Genomic DNA, 17,915 nt, shown 5'->3' on the forward strand with positions numbered 1-17,915 from the left:
GAAAAGGGTTTTCACCATCAGATTTGAAACGTTTGGCTTTTTTGTTTTTAAATCATAGACTTCTGTTGTCTAAAACAAGTTCAGGCAGTAGGAAGGAACGAAGAGAGTTCAGATTTATTCACATGGTATTTTCCCAGAAGAGTCTCTTTTTTTAAGAAGCAATTTTTAGGCCATCTACATTAGGCCCATGCAAATGAAAAGATCAGAGTTTAATTAATCTTGTCCTGAGTAAGAGAAGTGACAAATAGCAATTAAGTGTTTTGTGTTCCTCAAGGAATTTTCCTGCTTACTTTCTCTTTGTTTCTCAAGGGAGGGAGTTACTCTCCCTTTTGGAAAATGCTCGGTGGAGAGGGCTAAAGCTAGTGACTCATATCCTGATTATCTTTCTTGAGCATGGCATGGGAGAAATAATGGAAATTTCTGGAGCCACACAGACCTAGGTTCCATCATTTGTCAGCTATGAGATGTTGGCTAATGTACGTAATTTCCTTCTTTATAAAACAGAGCTAAGAGGGCCAACCTTTCTCACAATAAAGTCAAGGCAGCCACTTTCTTCTCCATGGGTTGAGTTGGCGTGAAAAGAAGACTCCTGGCAGAATGCAACTTGAACCTGAAGAGCTTTATTCAAGAACAATTGAAACTGGAAATTATGTTTCTAACATCACACTGCCTTGTACTTCATGCGCTTTATTCTACAGAGTACTTTAAGGCTACACCTACACCTCAGAATGTTTGAATTTATTCAAGAAACAAAACTAGGTTAAATAATAATATAAAATGATGACAATGATAATAATAATAATAATTGATGTTATTGCTATGGAGCTGAGTAGAAAGAAAGTACTTTTTTGGTTAAAAGATCTCAAGTTGGCCAGGCGCAATGGCTTACACCTGTAATTCCAGCACTTTGGGAGGCCAAGGCGGGTGGATCACGAGGTCAGGAGATCAAGACCATCCTGGCTAACATGGTGAAACCCCATCTCTACTAAAAATACACAAAATTAACCAGGCGTGGTGGCACGTGCCTATAATCCCAGCTACTCAGGAGGCTGAGGCAGGAGAATGGCTTGAACCCGGGAGGCAGAGGTTGCAGCGGGCCAAGATTGCCCCACTGTACTCTAGTCTGGGTGACAGAGCGAGACTCCATCTCAAAAAAAAAAAAAAAACAAAACAAAACTCAAGTCACTGGCTGGTTGCCTTTTTCACTGTTCAGTTGATCTTTGAGGCACCATTAGACTTAACAGTCAATGTCTTTATCAAGGAAAACAATCAGCAAGTATATTAATTAGGGCATTGCTTACACTTTTACTGCAAGTCTGATTTTAAGTTGGATGCCTGTCTTCATTAAAGTCATTAATACTCTAAGTGAATTTGTGCCTGAAATTTCATATGTATTTAGGAATTACACATTTTTTGCTTTTTACCGTGGGACCTTTAAGCTATGAGCAATCTCCCTGTTGCAGACATCTAAAATTACAAACAGAGCTGTTTAGGTATATTAACAAGTGCCTCACCTTCAAAGTTGAAAATGGAAATTAAACAGAAGTGTACAGGATAGGATCATTGACAAAACCCTATGAGTATTAGCTTCTCTTTATTGGTACATGTAAATGTCTTCTGCAGCTGGCCACTGATGAGCACAGCCAGCATCTTAAGTCATGATTGGCATTGGCATTCGCTCTTCATTCTTCCCCAGAATAACAGAACTCATAGAATCCATCCCTCCCAGGTGTCACTGTAGAGTAAGTACCATTATATCACCTTTATAAAACAGTGTGTATCTTGAATCTAAGATCTCCTGCAGGGTCTCCTTCAAAACAATTGATCTTAAGGGTCCTGGATGTGGTGTGGTGGTGATGACCACAGTTCTGTTCTGATGTCCACTACTCTGTGATCTTTGGCTTTGTGGACCACTGACAGACCCAGGCTACTGTTTATGAAGCTGCTGACCCTCCCTTGGATCTCTGACCTCTAGGAAGCAGAAAGATCCTTGTGATTAGCTATTTTTGCAGGAGTTCCTCACAGCAGAATTGTCCAGATGTTTTAGGAAGGGGAAAGGGACAGGGGTGTGAGGAGGTTGGTGAGGTGCAGCTTCACCCTATGCTAGGATCATGCTCCCTCTTCCAGAGTTTATGCTAGTCTCTTTGGTTCTTTCAGCACCTAGCCTTTCCTCTGGCAGAGCAAGTGCTCCATTGTTTTATCTGCTAGCCCCAAAGACCCCCTCAGCAGCTGCTGGAGCATCGAACACATCTGTGACCCAATTCAAATTATTTCTAAAAGGAATAACTGGCCCTACACAATTCAAGGGACATAAATCTCAGTGTTTCATAACATTTCCTAAAAGCTCAGAAACTCCCAAAACATCTAGAGGCCAGCAGGGCCTCGTTCCAGCAGAATTAGAGTTCAGCCTAGCAGTGTCACATTGATCCACTTCAACATCTCAAGTCTCAGTTAGCTTTTGTTGGCAATAATATATTCCAGAAAATGAAATCAGCCCACATACCTAATAGGTACACCTTGAGGCCTGCATCTCAGTCAGCCTGGGCCACTGTAACAAAGTACTATAGGCTGGGTGGCTTATAAATGAGAGAAATTTCTCTCTGACAGTTCTAGAGGCTAGAAGTCCAAGATCAGGGTTCCAGGATGGTCCGAGTCTCATGAAGGCCCTCTTCTGGGATGCAGAGTGCCAGCTTTTCATTATATCTTCACACAGTGGAGAGTGTGAAAAAGCTCTCTGGGGACCCTGTTCTAAGAGCACTGATCCCATTTACAAGGGCTTCACTCTCATAACTTAATTACCTCCCAAGGCCCAACCTTCTAATACCATCACATTGAGGATTAGGATTTTGACATACAAATCCTGGTGGAGGACACAAGCATTTGGTCCATAAGAGTTGGTCATAGTCTGGTCACATCTCACCTACCTGTCCTGATTACCAACTCTTTTCTTCAGCAGCTCAACAACTGTTCATCCTTTCTCTAGCCCACACTGTCCTCTCAGTTCTCTGTCCACATAAGCTGACAGCAAAATCACAGTAGGTCATTGTTTTCCAACCTCACATCCTTTCCTGTTGGCTTGAGTTTTCCAGCTAAATTGTATGTTCATTATGCTTTCTTATATCCACACAGTAACATGATATACTCTGTCACAGAGGCACAATAAATCAAATTAAATTTAAAACTATTGCCTGGTTAGTTCATTTGTGGTTATGTCTAACAGCTGTAGTAGGCACTACAGGCTATAAAAAAGTGGAATATGGGGCCGGGTGCAGTGGCTCACGCCTGTAATTCCAGCACTTTGGGAGGCCGAGGCGGGTGGATCACAAGGTCAGGAGTTCAAGACCAGCCTGGCCAAGATGGTGAAACCCCGCCTCTACTAAAAATACAAAAATTAGTCGGGTGTGGTGGTGGGCACCTGTAATCCCAGCTACTTGGGAAGCTGAGGCAGAGAATTGCTTGAACCTGGGAGGCGTAGGTTGCAGCGAGCCGAGATTATGCCACTGTACTCCAGCCTGGGCAACAGAGTGAGCTCCATCTCAAAAACAAAAAAACAAAAAACAAACAAACAAAAAAAAACCAAAAACAAACAAACAAACAAAAGTGGACTATGATATGGTCCCTGTCCTCAAACATCTCCCAATCTCATTGAGAAGGCAAAAAATACAACAAAAATAATACAACTATAAGCAAATGCTAAGCTTGGTGCACCTAGGTGTTTCTTTGGTATCCAGGAAGGGGATAGTATAAGGTAAACTGAAGTTAACTAGAAAGATTTTATGGCTATGATAAAATCAGTGATTGGCCTCAAACAATTACACAAGTTGAGGAGACTGTTTAAAAAATGTGGGGTGTTTGTATTTTGTATAAACCTGTACATTAATCTTCAGAGAAGCTTTATTCACCCTAACCAAAAACAGGAAATAGCTCAGAAGTCCTTTCCTGAGTGAATGGTTAAACAAACTGTGGTTACATTCACACCATGGAATACTATGCAGGAATAAAAAGGAATGGACTATTGATGTGTGTAGCAACCTGATGACTCTGCAGGGAATTATACTGAGTGAAGAAAAGCCAATCCGAAAAGGTTACATAATGCATGATTCTATTTATATCACATTTTAAAAATTTAGAAACGAAGACTAGATTAAAGTGGTTGCCACAGATTTGGAGAAGGGGCAGGAGAGAGATGGAGATGGTTATCAAAGGGCAACCCAAGGTTCCTTGTGGAGATGGAACTGTTCAGTCTCTTGACCGTGATGATAGATACTCAAATCCACACGTCATTAAATTATATAGAACTAAACACACACACACACACACACAAAACAAGTAAAAATAGGGAAATCTGGCTAAAGCCTGTGGATTATATCAATCCTGGTTGTGATACTGTACTATGGTTTTACAAAATGTTCCATTGGGGAAACTGGGTAAAGGATACAAAGCATCTCTCTGGATTATTTATTACAACAGCATGTGAATCTACAATTATCTAAATAAAAAATTTCAATTAAAAAAACCCAGCAGAATGTCATTTCAGATGATAAGGTATAGCATAAGCCAGGCAGTGAAACTTAGATCACATCCAATATTAAGTTTCAGAAGACTTGGTTTCATGAAAATTTCTTAACCTGCTAAGCTTCTTTGCCTCAATTTATAAGTCAAAAATTTATAAATAGAAGGTACCGTAAAGTGGTGAGGAAAAATTAAGCATGACATTTAAACATTCAAAGAAGATGATTTCATGTCATCCAGTTACACCGCTTCCAACTTGGGGAGACCACCCCCATTTCATTGAAAGGGTCAGAGGATGGAAGAAATAAGATGATGTTTTGCAAGAAAGTATTTAAAATTAAAATATCCCTCCCAATTGCCCCAAAAGCCTAGGGGTTCTTAAACAATGATATACATAAGATTCATTTCAATGTGTGAAAATACAGCTTCCTGGGCCCACACCTAGAGATTGACATTTGGTGGAGTTGCATAGGATTCTGGAATTCTACATCTAATAAGCAACCCAGGTGATTCTAATCTACCTGGAATAAGAAATCAGAGTCAAAGAGCATACTTACCAAAAATGCAAAATTTTTTAAGACCCACTACTTTTGTCACACAATAGTTTAACTTTATTCTGATGATTCAGTGGAATTTATAGAAAGACGTTTGGGTACTTAAAGGTCTGGGTCATGTTCTTGTGTGGTTGGGAGTGGAGAGAGAAGAGGAAGCTGTCAAAGTATAAAACCTTCCCAGCCCTCCCCTTCTAATCACAACTCATCAAAGAGCATTTTGCACAGGGAGATCAAAGTCCCTTGCCGAAGAGAGGTTGAAAGACTTTGCTGTTGTAATTCTGGGGCAGAGGTGCTTGGATATAAATGAGCCCTAACTGTGGGTTTGGGGGACCCTGCAATGTAGAAATGTAAACACAGATGTCAGGCCTTTCATCCCCACTATATAAACATACCAGCTGCCAGGGGAAGGAGAAACCCTTCAGAATTAGCTGCATTTTTTTGCCATCTAGAGTATAAAAATTGGCTTGACACTTGAATTTCCATCAGCAACTTGAAGCATTGTTGACCAGAGTAGGGCTAACAATGGAACATCATCCACAGGCTGAGTGGCTCTTCTCTCTAGGAGACGTTCAGTTCTTGCCATTCTCTGACATATGGGTGGCTGTTCCAGAAAAAGAGAATGAGAAGAGGTGGTGGCACCCTTTCACAAAATCCCTAGACTCACAGAGAGGGGTCTTAAAAAATGGGTGGCCATTTTGTTTCCAGGGTTCTATAAACCAAGAGTCTGACTGAGATTTATAATCCTTATTGACCCAGAGTTAGGGAAAATGGAAGAAGCAAACCCTTAAGAGTTTTTGTGAGAAAAACTGAATTGCTTCCAGGAAAAGAGGATATGATTATTCCAACACATGAATATTTGAAGGGCCACAGCTGGTTTAGCCACAACAAAACCACAACAGACCTCCTCTCACACTATTAAATATTTTTTTTAAAAAAGGAAATGATGGAAAGAACCATTTCTGAAAAAAACTAAATGTGCAAAAAAGTATAATGGGAAGTGCATTTTACAATAAAACACTTCAATCCATGGAGAAATGTGTCTTCAATTACATCTCAAGCTAGCATGCCCGCTTGCATATGCATGTAAGTCTCGTGTTTTCCACAGAGCCTCAGTTCCGAAAGACCTGAAGTGTTGTAGCAAAAGCATATGAAGAGTGTCTTTTCATTGGAACAGAGATGGCCTTTCTTCTGAAAACATGACAGTCAAATATCTTCTGGCAATGGATATGCTCGTTGTTACATTATTAGCAATACACATCAACCCAAGATGATAAAAATGAATCTGAAATTACCAAGCAACCTATATATGTGAACTTATTGGACAGAGGCCATTGTGGTTTAGGACACATTACTTCAAATAAAATGTATTCCTTTAAAAATCATTCATCAGAGTATTGTAAAAGGATTATCACAGTGGGCTTTTAAAATAGCTTTGTTTAGAAGGGATCAGCTAAGCCAGCTGTATGTAATAGAAGATCCAATCAATTCAGGATAAATGCATCATAGGTATTAACTAGAAATATTTTGCTGCTGATATTTAGCTTATAAGATACTATTTTCTACAGTCAGGTTATGGACTACAATTAAACTCAAATCTATGTGGACAGTATCTTCTACTTACAAGTAGATTCATTCAAGAAGGCTGTTCTTAAATCCATTTGCTTCTAAGTTCAAAAGATCACACACAATAATGCATTTGTACACCCTTTTGCTTTTACAAGAGCATTCTAGATGTTGATTGCATTGTTTCTGTCCCTTCTTGTTTGTTTCAAAATCTCATGTATGTATGTGTGTGTATGTATTTGTGTGTGATATGTATTGCTATGTATGTGTTTATGTATCCAAAATAGTACCTCAAACAGCACACACACCAGAATATCTCAATATTTCAGACTTCAAATGGCTATGCAAGACAGCCAGTGCCACCTGTGGATGCAGGCAGAGTTGACTTTCCTTTATTAGCAATCTGAAAGTTTCTTAGGTTGAGTAAATAATGTAGCTTATGTAATTCTTAATTTATACTTTAACATGGCCAAGATATGCATAATAATTTGGTTCCAGTGTAACTCTGCAGGCCGGTCTCTCATCTATTCTATGCTGCATTCAAACTCTTCTGTTTGTTTTATTTTTTAGTTCCTCTAGAGTACTGTTTTCTTCTCTTCAATTAATAATTTTTTTATTGATGACCTATTATGTGCTAGGCAAGGTTCTAAGTTCAGAGGATACAGTAGTGAATCAAACAGACAAAATTCCCTGCCTTCTTAGAGCTTATGTTCTAGTTGGGGAAAGACAAAATAAATAAATATGTAAAATATATATTATGTCAAATAGTCATAAGTACTATGCAACACATGCATGGAAGATGGAGGAGTTGGAAGGGAGGAATTGCCACTTAAAATGTGATGGACAGGCATTCAGAGTGCCTGCTTGCCTGGTTCAGCAGCCTGAGCCACTACACCCCTCCTGTGCAGAGATCTTGGTGCAGGGGGACCTCTCTGTTCCCCAGCCTAGCAGTTTTCCAAGCATCTGGAGCACCCACTCTCCTGGATTAGGAGTTTAGGCCACCCTGCATTCCCACGCAGAGAACTTCGGGCAAAGGAGGTTTTCCAGCTCCACGCCTAGGCACACCTCTTGGGTACGTGGTGGCTGCCCATTAGATTCTCCCTCAGTGCTGGTGCCTGTGCCTGCCATTGGATGACCTGTAGGCAGACCTGCCCAGTCTGATGCTTCCCTTTGTGACTCTTGTAGGCCCCCAGGGCTGAGTAGGGAGCTAAGACCACTTTCATTCCAATCAGCTCATTGCCTGAGGCAACAGAGAACTTCAGCCATTAAACAAAGATCAAATATATACCTCCTCGAGTTGCCCACAGCCGGTTCCTACCTATAAGCGCCATCTACTGCCTTGTAGGTCAAACTGCACAGCCCTACATAAAATCGAAGCCGAAAGACCCTACATAGTATTCTCCGCATTCACACCCCCTAAGGAGGGGGATAAAGGGAAAGGAAAAGAAAAATAATATTATGGGGAAAAAAGAAAAATAAATAATCCTACTCCTGTGAAAATAATTACAACAATTAGAAGTGCCAGTATCTCCAGAAGAGAAGGAATCAGCACAAGAATTATGGCCCCATGGAAAATAGGAAGGTAGTGACAACACCAAGGGATTGCTCTACAGCAACGGCCTCTAGCCAAAGTGGAAACTCAGAAATGACAGATAAAAAATTCAGGCTGGGCGCAGTGGCTCATGCCTGTAATCCCAACACTTTGGGAGGCTGAGGTGGGCGGATCACCTGAAGTCAGGAGTTCGAGACCAGCCTGGCTAACATGGAAAAACTCCATCTCTACTAAAAATACAAAAATTAACCGGACATGGTGGCACGTGCCTGTAATCCCAGCTACTTTGGAGGCTGAGGCAGGAGAATCACTTGAACCCAGAAGGCGGGGGTTGTAGTGAGCCAAGATAATGCCACTGCACTCCAACCTGGGTGACAGAGCGCGACTGTCTAAAAAAAAAAAAAAAAAGAAAAAGAAAATTCAAGACAAGGTTGAAAATCAACACAAAGAAACTTCTAAAGCAATCCAAGAAATGAAGGAAAAGATAAACATCTTAAAAAGAAATCAGCCAGAACTTCCAGAATTTAAAAACTTGCTTAAGGAATTTCAAAATAGAATTAAAAATTTTGTCAATAGACTGGACCAAGGAGCACAAAGAATTATGGATCTTGAAGACAAGTCTAGTTTTCCTAGTCAGATAAAAATAAAGAATAAATAATTTTTAAAAATGAACAAATTCTTCAAGAAATAGGAGATTATGTAAAGCGACCAAACTTATGAACTATTGGCATTCCTGAGAGAGAAAGAGAAAAAGTAAACAACCTGGAAAACATATTTGAGGGAATAATTCAAGAAAAATTCCCTAAAATTGCTAGATGGGTAGACATCCAGATACAAGAAATCCAGAGAATGCATGTGAAATACTATAGAAAATAAACATCACCAAGGCATATAGTCACCACACTATATGCAGTGTCCAAGGTCAATGCTAAAGAAATATCTTAAAGGCAGCTAGAGGAAAAAAGTCAGATCACATACAGAGGGTATCCCATCAGGCTAAAAGTGAATTTCTCAGCAGAAACCTCATAAGCCAGGAGAGATTGGGGACCTATTTTCAGCATTCTTAAAGAAAAGAAATTCTAATGAAGAATTTCACATGCTGTCAAACTAAGTAAGCTTCATAAGTAAAGGCGAAATAAAATCTCTTCCAGATAAGCAAGCACTAAGAAATTTGTTACAACTAGACCAGCCTTACAAGAAATTCTTAAGTGAGTTCTAAATATGGAAACAAAAGAATAATACCTGCTACCACAAAAACACACTTAAGTCCATAGCCCGCAGGCCCTATAAAGCAACCACACAATAGAAACTAGAAAGCAACCAGCTAACAACTTCACAATGGGATCAAAATCTCACATAACAAATTAACCTTGCATGTAAATGGTCTAAATGTCCCACTTAAAAGGTAAAGAGTGATAAGCTGGATTTAAAAACAAGACCTAGTCAGGTGCAGTGGCTCATGCTTGTAATTCCAACACTTTGTAATTCTGAGGTGAGTGGATCACTTCAGCTCAGGAGTTTGAGACCAACCTGGGCAACATGGAAAAACCCTGTCTCTATGAAAAATACAAAAAATTAGCCAGGCATGATGGTGCACACCCAGCTACTTGGGAGCTGAGGTGGGACGATCGCTTGAGCCTGGAAGGTCAGGGCTGCAGTGAGCCAAGATTGCACCACTGCACTCCAGCCTGGGTGACAAAGTGAGATCTTGTTAAAAAAAAAAAAAAAAAAAAAGTTTAAAAAAAAAAGACCAATCTGTCTGCTATCTTCAAAAGACTCATCTCACACATTATGATGCCCATAGGCTCAAAGTAAAGGGTTGGAGAAAGATCTACCGTGCAAACAGAAAACAAAAACAAGTAGGAGCTACTATTCTTATATCAGATAAAACAGACTTTAAACTAACACTAGTAAAAAAAGGACAACAAAGGGCACTGCATAATAATGAAGTGTTCAATTCAACAAGATGACTTAACTATCCTAAATATATATGCACCCAATATTGGAGCACCCAGAACCATAAAACAAATACTTCTAAATCTACTAAAAGACTTAGGCAGCCACACCATAATAGCAGGGGACTTTAATACCCCACTGACAACGTTTGACAGATCGTCAAGGCAGAAAACTAACAAAGAAATTCTGAACTTGACCAATTGGATCTAATACACATCTACATAATACTCCACATATCAACCACAGAATATACATTTCTTCAAGATTGACCATATGTTTGGCCATAAAGCAGGTCTCAACAAATTTTTTAAAATATCAAAATTATACTAACCATACTCTCACACTGTAGTGGAATAAAAACATAAATCAATACCAAGAACTTCTCTTAAAGCTACACAGTTAAATGAAAATTGAAAAATTTGTTCCTGAATGACTTTTGGGTTAAACAATGAAATTAAGGCAAAAATCAAAAAAATCTTTGAAATAAATGAAAACAGAGACAAAACATACCAAAATCTCTGGGATGCAGCAAAAGCAATGTTAAGAGGAAACTTTATGGCATTAAATGCCTACCTCAAAAAGCTAAAAAGATCTGAAATTAACAATCTAACAACATAACTAGAGGAAGTACAAAGACAAAAAAAAAGCTAGCAGAATAAAACAGACAACTAAAATCTAAGTAGTACTGAATAAAATTGAGACCCAAAAATTCATGCAAAAAATCAACAAAACCAAAAGCTTGGTCTTTGAAAGGATAAACCAGATGGATTCAGTGCTAGCTAGATTCACAAAACAAACAGTAGAAGATAAACACACACACACACACACACACACACACACAGACACAAAATCAGAAATAAGAAAGGTGGCATTACAATGACCCCAGAGAAATACAAAAGATCTTCAGAGACTATTATGAACATCTGTATGCACACAAACTAGAAAACCTAGAGAAAATGGATAAATTCCTATAAATATACAAACCCCCAAGACTGAATCAGGAAGAAATTGAAACACTGAACAGATCAATGTTAAGTTCCGAAATTGAATCAGTAATAATAATTTTAGAAAACCTATCAACCAAAAAAAGCCCCAGACCAGATGCATTCACAGCCAAATTCTATAAGATGCACAAAGAGGAACTAGTACCAGTGATACTAAAACTATTGCAAAAAATTGAGGAAGGGCTCCTCCCTAACTCATTCTACAAAACCTAGCATCACTCTGATACCAAAACCTAGCAAAGACACAAGAAGAAAACTAGAAGCCAATATCCCTGATGAACATAAATGCAAAAATCCTCAATAAAAAACTAGCAAACTAAATACAAGAGTACACAAAAATTTAATTTACCATGATCAAGTAGGCTTTATTCCTGGAATGCAAGGTTGGCTCAACTTATGCAAATCAGTAAATATGGTTCACCACATACACAGAATTAAAAACAAAGACCATATGATCCTCTCAATTGATGCAGAAAAAGCTTTTGATAAAATACAACATCACTTCATGGTAAAAACTCTCAAGAAACTAGGCATCAAAGTAACATACCACAGAATAATAAGAGCCATCTATGACAAACCCACAGCCAACACCATACTGAACAGGCCAAAGCTGGAAGCATTCTCCTTGAGAACTAGAACAAGACAAGGATATCCACTCTCATCACTCCCATTCAACATAGTACTGGATAGTGCTAGCCAGAGAAATCAGGCAAAAGAAAGAAATAAAAGGCATCCAAATAGGAAAAGAAGGAATCAAACTATCTATCTCTTCACTGACAATATGATTCTATACCTAGAAAACCCTAAAGACTCCACTAAAAGGCTCCTGGATATCTGTGGAAAAAAACATTCTAGTCACAGAGAACAGCCAGTACAAAACCCCTGCAAAATAGTGTACTTGACCTGCTTAACATGGAGGTCAAGATGGTTGGAGAGTGGCAATGAAGGGAGAAGGTAATGGGAGATGTGGTCAGGAGGCAGTGAGTTGTACAGATCGTGTGAGGCTCTATCAAAAAATTTAGCTTTAATTTAGAATGTTTGGAAAGCCACATAAGTGGGAGGGTAAGAAAAGGTGGGGAGTTGGAAAACTGGCCGTGATAAGGGGCAAGATGATCTTGAGAGTAATGGTAGACATCAGAGGTGGTCAGATGCTGCACATATTTTGAGAATACAGCCAAAAGGTATATTGACAGATTGAGTGTGGGGAGTGTTAAAAGGAAGTCAAGGGTAAGTCTAACAGGTTTTTTTTTCTTTTGCCTGAGCAATTGGAAAGATAAAATCGCTTTTGATAAGGGGCAAGCTGTAGGAGCAGCAGACTTTGGTAAGAGGAAGGTGCAGATATCAGGAGTTTGGATTTGAACAGGCTAAGACTGAAATATTTATTAGACATCCAAATGGAGATGGAAAAAAGGCAGTTGGACACATGCATTTGTCATTCTGGGGAGAGGTATAAATTGGAGACATAAAACTTGGAAGTCATCAACATATATAGGAGATTTAAAGATATGAAAGTGAAACACCAAGGAGAGAGTATTGATAGAAAAGAGAAGAGGATAGAAGAGTGAGCCTTGGTTCCTCCTACTGATGACTCTGGACATTAGAACATCCTTTATCAAATGTGTATTTTGCAAATATTTTCTCACAAGCTGTGGCTTAGTTTTTCATTCTGACAGTGTTTATCAAAGAGCACAAATTTTTGATTTTAATAAAGCCAGACTTACCAGTTCTTTCTTTCATGGGTTATGTCTTTGGTTTTGCATCTAAAATGCCAAGCCCAAGTTTATCTACATTTTCTCCTATGTTATCCTCTGAAATTTTTATAGTTTTGTACTTTACATTTGGGATTGTGATCCATTTTGAGTTAATTTTTGTGAAGGGTGTAGGGTCTATGTCTAGATTCACTTTTTCTGCATGTGGACATCCAGTTGTTCTAGCACCATTTGTTGAAAGGACTCTTTGCTCCATTGTATTGCCTCTGCTTCTTTGTTCAGGTCAGTTGACTATATTTATATGGGTCTATTTCTGGTCTCTCTATTATGTTTCATTGATCCATTTGTCTATTCTTTTGCCAATTCCACACTATCTTAGTTGTAGCTTTGTAGGATTTCTTAGTCAGGTTGCACCAGTCCTAACTTTGTTTTCCCCTTTCAATATCATATTGGCTATTTTGGGTCTTTTGCCTGTCCATATAAACCTCAGAATCAGTTGGTTAATATCCATGAATAGCTTTAAGATTGCACTGAATCTCTAAATCAAATTAGGAAGAACTGAATTTTGACAGTATTGTCTTCCTATTCATGAATGTGGAATCTTTGTCTATATATCCCTTTGATTACTTTCATCTGAGGTTTATCATTTTCCTCATCTTTTACATGTTTTGCTAGATTTATATCTAGGCATTTTATTTTTAGGGGTACTAATGCAAATGATATTGCATTTTTAATTTAAACTTCTGCCTGTTCACTGCTGTCTCCTGAACCTTACTATAATTACTGGTTGCAGAAGTCTTTGGTTGATTCTTTAAGATTTTCTGCATACATGGTCATGTGATTGGTGACCAAAGAGATTTCTTTTTTTTTTTTTTCAATCTCTTACCTTTTGTTTCCTTTTCTTGCCTTATTACATTAGCTGGGATTTCCAGTATGTTGCTGAAAAGGAGTGATGAGAGGACATCCTTGCCTTGTACCTGATCTCTCAGGCTGTAGGAAAACTTCAAGTATCTTACCATTAAGTATGATGTTAGCTGTAGGATTTTTGTAAATATTTTGTATCAAGTTAAGGAAGATTCCTTCTATTCCAAGTCTACTTAAAGGTTTTATCATGAATGAATATTAGATATTATCTGCATCTATTGATATGAACATGTTATTTTTCTTCTTTAGTCTGTTGATGTGATATATTACAGTAATTAATTTTCATTGTTGAACCAGCATTGAGGACTTGGTTGTGGTGTATAATTCTTTTTACACCTTGTAGAATTTGAATTGCTATTATTTTGTTGAGGAGTTTTGCATCTTATTTTAGTGAAAGATGCTGGTCTTAAATGGTTGGTAGAATTCACCAGGGAACCCATCTGGGCCTGGTAATTTCTGCTAATGAGGTTAATTATTAATTCAATTTCTCTAATAGATATAGGCTTTTCAAATTGTTTCTTTCTTCCTGCGAGAGTTTTGACAGTTTCTTGTGTCTTTCAAGAAATTGGTCCATTTAATCGAGATTATCAAATTTGTGGGCATAGAGTTTTCATAATATTTATTATTCTTTTAATGTCTTTGGGATCTGCAGTAATAGTCCTTTCATTTTTAATATTAGCAATTTGTGTTTTCTATATTTTCTTAGATAACTTAGGTAGAGACTTACTGATTTTATTAATTTTGTCAAAGAACCAGCTTTTAGTTTTATTGATTATCTCTTTATCTGTTTTCAATTTCACTGATTTCTGCTCCAATTTTTATTATTTCTTTTCTTCTGCTTACTTTGGATTTACTTTGCTCTTTTTGCTTAGTTGCCGAAGATGAAAGCTTAAGTGATTAATTTTAGAGTTTCCCTCTTTTCTAACATATGCATTTAATACTGTAAGTTTCCCCTCTAACCACTGGTTTCAGAATATTCCACAAATTTTGATAAGTTGTTTTTATCTTAATTTAGTTCAGAGTATTTTAAAATTTCTCTTGAGCTTTCTTCTTTGACTCATATATTTTTTAGAAATGTGTTGCTCAGGAATTTCTTTCCAAGATGGCCAAATAGAAACAGCTCTAATCGGCAGCTCCCAGCGTGATCAACACAGAAGATGGGTGATTTCTGCATTTCCAACTGAGGTACCTAGTTCATCTTATTGGGACTGGTTGGACAATGGGTGCAGCCCATGAAGGGTGAGCTGAAACAGGGTGGGGCATCGCCTCACCTGGAAAGCACAAGGGGTCGGGGGATTTCCCTTTCCTAGCCAAGGGAAGCCATGGCAGACTGTACCTGGAAAATCAGGAAATTCCAGCCCAAATACTGTGCTTTTCCAACGGTCTTAGTAAATGGAACACCAGGAGATTACATCCCCTACCTGGCTCAGCGGGTCCCACACCCACGGAGCATTGCTCACTGCTAGCACATCAGTCTGAGATCAACCTGTGAGGCAGCAGCCTGGCAGGGGGAGGGGCATCCACCATAGCTGAGAATTGAGTAGGTAAACAAAGCAGCTAGGAAGCTCAAACTGAGCGGAGCCCACCGCAGCTCAGCAAGGCCTATTGCCTCTGTAGATTCCACCTCTGGGGGCAGGGCATAGCTGAAAAAAAGGCAGCAGAAACTTCTGCAGACTTACACATCCATGTCTGACAGCTCTGAAGAGAGCAGTGGTTCTCCCAGCATGGTGTTTGAGCTCTGAGAGTGGACAGACTGCCTCCTCAAGTGGGTCCCTGAACCCCATGTAGCCTAATTGGGAGACACCTCCCAGTAGGGGCTGACTGACACCTCATATAGGCCGGTGCCCCTCTGGGATCAAACTTCCAGAGGAAGGATCAGGCAGCAATATTTGCTGTTCTGCAGCCTCTGCTGGTGATACCCAGGCAAACAGGGTCTGCAGTGCACCTCCAACAAACCCCAACAGACCTGCAGCTGAGGGACCTGACTGTTTGAAGGAAAACAAACAGAAGGGAATAGCATCAACATCAACAAAAGGACATCCACACCAAAACCCCATCTGTAGGTCACCAACATCAAAGACCAAAGGTAGATAAAACCACAAAGATGGGGAGAAACCAGAGCAGAAAAGCTGAAAATTCTAAAAACCAGAGCACCTCTTCTCTTCCAAAGGATCGCAGCTCCTCACCAGCAACGGAACAAAGCTGGACGAAGAATGACTTTGACGAGCTGACAGAAGTAGGCTTCAGAAGGTTGGTAATAACAAACTTCTCCGAGCTAAAGAAAGATGTTCGAACCCATCACAAAGAAGCTAAAAACCTTGAAAAAAGATTAGAGGAATGGCTAACTTGAATAAACAGTGTAGAGAAGACCTTAAATGACCTGATGGAGCTGAAAACCATGGCATGAGAACTACATGACACATGCACAAGTTTCAATAGCTGATATGGTCAAGTGGAAGAAAGGGTATCAGTGATTGAAATCAAATTAATGAAATAAAGCAAGAAGAGAAGTTTAGAGGAAAAAGAGTAAAAAGAAATAAACAAAGCCTCCAAGATATATGGGAATATCTGAAAGACCAAATCTATGTTTGATTGGTGTACCTGAAAGTGACAAGGAGAATGGAACCAAGTTGGAAAACACTCTTCAGGGTATTATCCAAGAGAACTTCCCCAACCTAGCAAGGCAGGCCAACATTCAAATTCAGGAAATACAAAGAACACCACAAAGATACTCCTTGAGAAGAGCAATCCCAGGACACATAAATGTCAGATTCACCAAGGTTGAAATGAAGGAAAAAATGTTAAGGGCAGCCAGAGAGAAAGGTCGGGTTACCCATAAAGGGAAGCCCATCAGACTAACAGCAGATCTCTTAGCAGAAACTCTACAAGCCAGAAGTGAGTGGGGGCCAATATTCAACATTCTTAAAGAAAAGAATTTTCAACCCAGAATTTCATATCCAGCCAAACTATGCTTCATAAGTGAAGGAGAAATAAAATCCTTTACAGACAAGCAAATGCTGAGAGATTTTGTCACCACCAGGCCAGCCTTACAAGAGATCCTGAAGGAAGCACTAAACATGGAAAGGAACAACTGTTATCAGCCACTGCAAAAACATGCCAAATTGTAAAGATCACCGATGCTAGGAAGAAACTGCATCAATTAACGGGCAAAATAACCAGCTAATATCATAATGACAAGATCAAATTCACACATAACAATATTAACCTGAAATGTAAATGGGCTAAATACCCCAATTAAAAGACATAGACTGGAAAATTGGATAAAGAGTCAAGACCCATCAGTGTGCTGTATTCAGGAGACCCATCTCATGTGCAGAGACATACATAGGCTCAAAATAAAGGATGGAGGAAGATCTACCAAGCAAATGGAAAGCAAAAAAAAGCAGAGGTTGCAATCCCAGTCTCTGATAAAACAGACAATAAACCAATAAAGATCAAAAGAGATAAAGGAGGCCACTACATAATGGTAAAGGGATCAATTCAACAAGAAAAGCTAACTATCCTAAATATATATGCACCCAATACAGAAACACCCAGATTCATAAAGCAAGTCCTTAGAGATCTACAAAGAGACTTAGACTCCCACACAATAATAATGGGAGACTTTAACACCCCCCTGTCAATATTAGACAGATCAACGAGACAGAAGGTTAACAAGGATATCCAGGACTTGAACTCAGCTCTGCACCAAGAACCTAATAGACATCTGCAAAACTCTCCACCACAAATCAACAGAATATACATTCTTCTCAGCACCACACCACACTTATTCCAAAATTGACCACATAGTTGGAAGTAAAGCACTCCTCAGCAAATGTAAAAGAACAGAAATCACAACAAACTGTCTCTCAGACCACAGTGCAATCAAATTAGAACTCAGGATTAAGAAACTCACTCAAAACCGCTCAACCACATGGAAACTTAACAACCTGATCTTGAATGATTGCTGGGTAAATAATTAAATGAAGGCAGAAATGAAGATGTTCTTTGAAACCAATAAGAACAAAGAAACAAGGTACCAGCATCTCTGGGACACATTTAAAGCAGTGTGTAGCGGGAAATTTATAGCACTAAATGCCCACAAGAGAAAGCAGGGAAGATCTAAAATTGATACCCTAAC

The 17,915-nt window shown here is 39.0% G+C and overlaps 1 long non-coding RNA gene across 1 annotated transcript in view; it reads right to left on the reverse strand.

The window, feature by feature from the left end:
* Window positions 1-17,915, reverse strand: part of LOC105374786 (uncharacterized) — a 98,219-nt gene that overhangs the window by 21,254 nt on the left and 59,050 nt on the right. The gene's annotated exons all lie outside the window — the stretch shown is intronic.

This window comes from Homo sapiens, chromosome 2 (assembly GCF_000001405.40).
Source record: "Homo sapiens chromosome 2, GRCh38.p14 Primary Assembly".
In the NCBI taxonomy this organism is placed as follows: domain Eukaryota; kingdom Metazoa; phylum Chordata; class Mammalia; order Primates; family Hominidae; genus Homo; species Homo sapiens.